A 3807-nucleotide genomic window follows, 5' to 3' on the forward strand; every position below is an offset into this window, starting at 1 on the left:
CTCATTTTATGATTTTTCATACTTTCTTTACTGTTTATTTTTTCCTATTGTACCTTTCACTCTATAGATCAAATCTTTTTCTATTTGTTTGAAATCTGGAAATTTTTAACATTGTAATGGTGGTTATATCATTATTTATGTTAATTTTCTCAATTTCTGATATGTGTCAAAATTAATATCATCTCAGCAAACAAGATAAGTGCTCTAGCTTCCTCTTGCCACCTCTGGTTTGCTTTCTCTGTTACGACAGCACTTTGTCTAAGGGGGTGCTTTCTGAAGTTTACTTGGGGTTGTTTTCAATATGTTATGTTTTCATTTATTTTTTAGAGTATGATAAACACCACTACCATTGATTCTGGAACCCTCAATTCTAACACCACGGTGTATTTCTCTTCTTAGTGGAGTATGACCTCTAAGCATTTTCAAAGGGATTTATTTGAAATAAAACTTTTGAGGCCTTACTTTTTAATGTCTTTTTCTGGGCTTTCATATTTAAAAGATTGTGGCTGCAAATAATTCAAGGATTAAAATTGGTTTCCTTTTAATCCTTGAAAAATATTACTTCATTTTATTCTTGTCTCCAGCATTGCTGTTGGAAAGGCTGACACCAATCAAAACCAATTTTTCCCTAAAGGATGATCTGTCTTCTCATCATTTTGACAGGATGTAACAAAACAAAGGAGTCTTCAATGTTCTGAGTATAAATCATTTTGCAATTATAAACTTAACTTAATATTAATGCAATACAAAAAGAATTAAAACCTTCTTGAGACATGCAAGTGCACAGGAAAATTAAGTATCATGCACTCATTCAGGAAGAAAAGGTGCAAAAGAAATTTAATGAAAGAGATGGTCGTTAGATGCAAGTGTGGCTGAATGTAGGGATGCGATGCTGACACGTGGCAGCAGGCCTGGCAAGCTGTCTATCCCAATTCAACTACTTCAGAAAGAGAAGAATATTAACTAGGCTATCTTGGTGATGTGCTGAAAAAAGTGCTGTGTTTCCTTTTTAATCATTCAAAACAAAGGTAGTAAAATTCCCGGGAAATAAGAAATAATGCATCATAAATGTATAAAAGTTGAGGAAAATACTATATTTTTATGAATTTAAAATGCCATCTCATTTAGATTGTTATGTCTTTTCAGAAGTGCTTTAAAATTGATGGCACATAGTAAAAAATGGCATAAATTCCAACAATTAATGGAAAAACATTAATCCATCTTCTTGAGTCTTGGAACCAGGATTCTTTTGGGAGGCTTCGGTGTATCTGTGTATCATTTCATTGCCTTCACACAAATCAAATCACGCCACCTGCGACTGTGGTTTGAAAAAAAAAGAAAACATAATAATGATGCTGTCAATTCACTTGAGATTCCATGATCAAAATTAACCTACGAACAAAGCACAGACTTTATTATAATTACAAAATAGGATGTAATTTACATAAAATGTGAAAATATAAGCATAGAACGAAATTTGATACAAGTCGAAAGCTATGACAGGGACTGTTGGAGGGGAGGGAAGTTGTACACTAATCTCCACATCCTACTGAGCCAATCAGTGGTGTTCAAATTGGATGGACCATATATTATCTAAACAGTATATTATTTAAGCAAAGAATTAAGCACTGTAAGTATATTATTTAGAGAAAGCAAATTTTTAAAAAATCCCATAAAATTATATATTAAAGACTAAATTGGAAATATAGTTTTAGAAGAAGAAAGTAGGGTAAATGAGCTATATTCTCTACCGTTCATAAAAAGTCAAGAGATATTACTTAAAATTGTTAAAACAAAATTAGGTGATTGTATAATATTATTTACAGTTCAAGAGAATAGCATATAGTAAAAAAAGAAAATGATAAACCTTGTCTAACTCTGAAAAACAGGACCAAGGTCTATGGAAGGAAAAAAAAAAGTTTCTGGTTTTCACTGGTTTTTTGCCCATCAAACTGTTTGAATGATTTTCAATGCACATGTGTTGGTTTAATTTTAAAATGTTCTTACTTACAGATCCCCTTGAATTACGTGTAAAATTAGGTTTCCTTTAGTCAATGGTGTATGAAAAGTAATCAACTCATCTAATTGAAGTTAGACATTAATAAATAATAAATTGGGGAGAACATAAATATACTCATTAAAAACAACCAGAACATAGCACTTGGCTCTATGTTCTGCTTATCTAGGAAGTGGAATTCTTAAAATTAAAACAAAATAATAAGGAGCTTCACATTTTCTTTTTCTTCTTTTTTTTTTTTTTTTTTTTGAGATGGAGTCTTGCTCTGTTGCCCAGGCTGGAGTGCAGTGGCACGATCTTGGCTCACTGCAACCTTCACCTCCCGGGTTCAAGCGATTCTCCTGCCTCAGCCTCCCGAGTAGCTGGGACTACATGTGCGCATCACCACGCCCAGCTAATTTTTGTATTTTTAGTAGAGACGGGGTTTCACCAGATTGGACAGGATGGTCTCGATCTCTTGACCTTGTGATCCACCTGCCTCGGCCTCCCAACGAGCTGGGATTACAGGCATGAGCCACTGCACTTGGTCGGAGTTTCACATTTTCTGAAAAATGTTAGAAATAAAAATGCAAGTGTTTCACTTAGATAAAGCTCTCATAATCACTGGTAGACTAAAGTCAATTTAGATTACCATTTATATTTTCAAATTTATAATATGACCAATATTGCCATCAAAATGTTCAGGCACAGAATGGTTTAAAGTAGCTGTCTTATTATTTCTCAATATTCTCTTTTCTTCTATGATTGGCATCACCAATCATGGTTGGAACATCTTTTTTTTATTTTATTTTTTATTTTATTTTATTTATTTATTTTGAGACGGAGTCTCACTGTGTTGCCCAGGCTGGAGTGCAGTGGCGTGATCTCGGCTGACTGCAAGCTCCACCTCCCAGGTTCTCACCATTCTCCTGCCTCAGCCTCCCGAGTAGCTGGCACTACATGTGCACACCACCATGCCCAGCTAATTGTTTGTATTTTTTAGTAGAGACAGAATTTCACCGTGTTAGCCAGGATAGTCTCAATCTCCTGACTTCGTGATCTGCCCGCCTCAGCCTCCCAAAGTGCTGGGATTACAAGCTTGAGCCACCGCACCCAGCCATGGTTGGAGCATCTTACCAAGGAACTATACTTGTAGTTTTTGAGTGGAAACAAGGGAGAAATTTTATTCATGCCTTGACCTAATTAATAATGCGTAACTAGATTCTGATGGCCGTTATCAATAGAACTGTCATCCGATTCAAAGAGCACTGGGCCGGGCGCGGTGGCTCACGCCTGTAATCCCAGCACTTTGGGAGGCCGAGGCGGGTGAATCATGAGGTCAGGAGATCGAGACCATCCTGTCTAACAAGGTGAAACCCCGTCTCTACTAAAAATACAAAAAATTAGCCGGGCGCGGTGGCGGGCGCCTGTAGTCCCAGCTACTCGAGAGGCTGAGGCAGGAGAATGGCGTGAACCCGGGAAGCGGAGCTTGCAGTGAGCCGAGATTGCGCCACTGCAGTCCGCAGTCCGGCCTGGGCGACAGAGCGAGACTCCGTCTCAAAAAAAAAAAAAAAAAAAAAAAAAAAGATTCAAAGAGCACTGTTTGTCTCCTCTAATATGGAGAAATGCCACAAATAAGTGGGAAATAATTTAATGACTGTAGTTCATTTTTAATCATATAGCTGAGTGATATTTTAAGTCTGACAAGAATAGATATTTGAACAAAAATAGCCAATTCTCTGTTACATAATTTAATACATTTGTGTTAAGAGGTTTAGACAATAAAGTTAATTTTGAAATGCATTATAAAT

General features: G+C 36.3%; 1 long non-coding RNA gene across 1 annotated transcript; it reads right to left on the reverse strand.

Annotated features, from left to right (window-relative positions):
* Positions 1 to 1073: 1073 nt before the first annotated feature.
* LOC105379450 (uncharacterized) lies at positions 1074 to 3171 on the reverse strand. The gene is made up of 3 exons (NR_135122.1): positions 3134 to 3171; positions 2480 to 2561; positions 1074 to 1318 (listed from the first exon to the last, which is right to left on the reverse strand). It is a non-coding gene; the product is annotated as an uncharacterized LOC105379450 (long non-coding RNA).
* Between the last annotated feature and the right edge of the window lie 636 nt (positions 3172 to 3807).

This window comes from Homo sapiens, chromosome 9 (assembly GCF_000001405.40).
Source record: "Homo sapiens chromosome 9, GRCh38.p14 Primary Assembly".
NCBI classification, from domain to species: domain Eukaryota; kingdom Metazoa; phylum Chordata; class Mammalia; order Primates; family Hominidae; genus Homo; species Homo sapiens.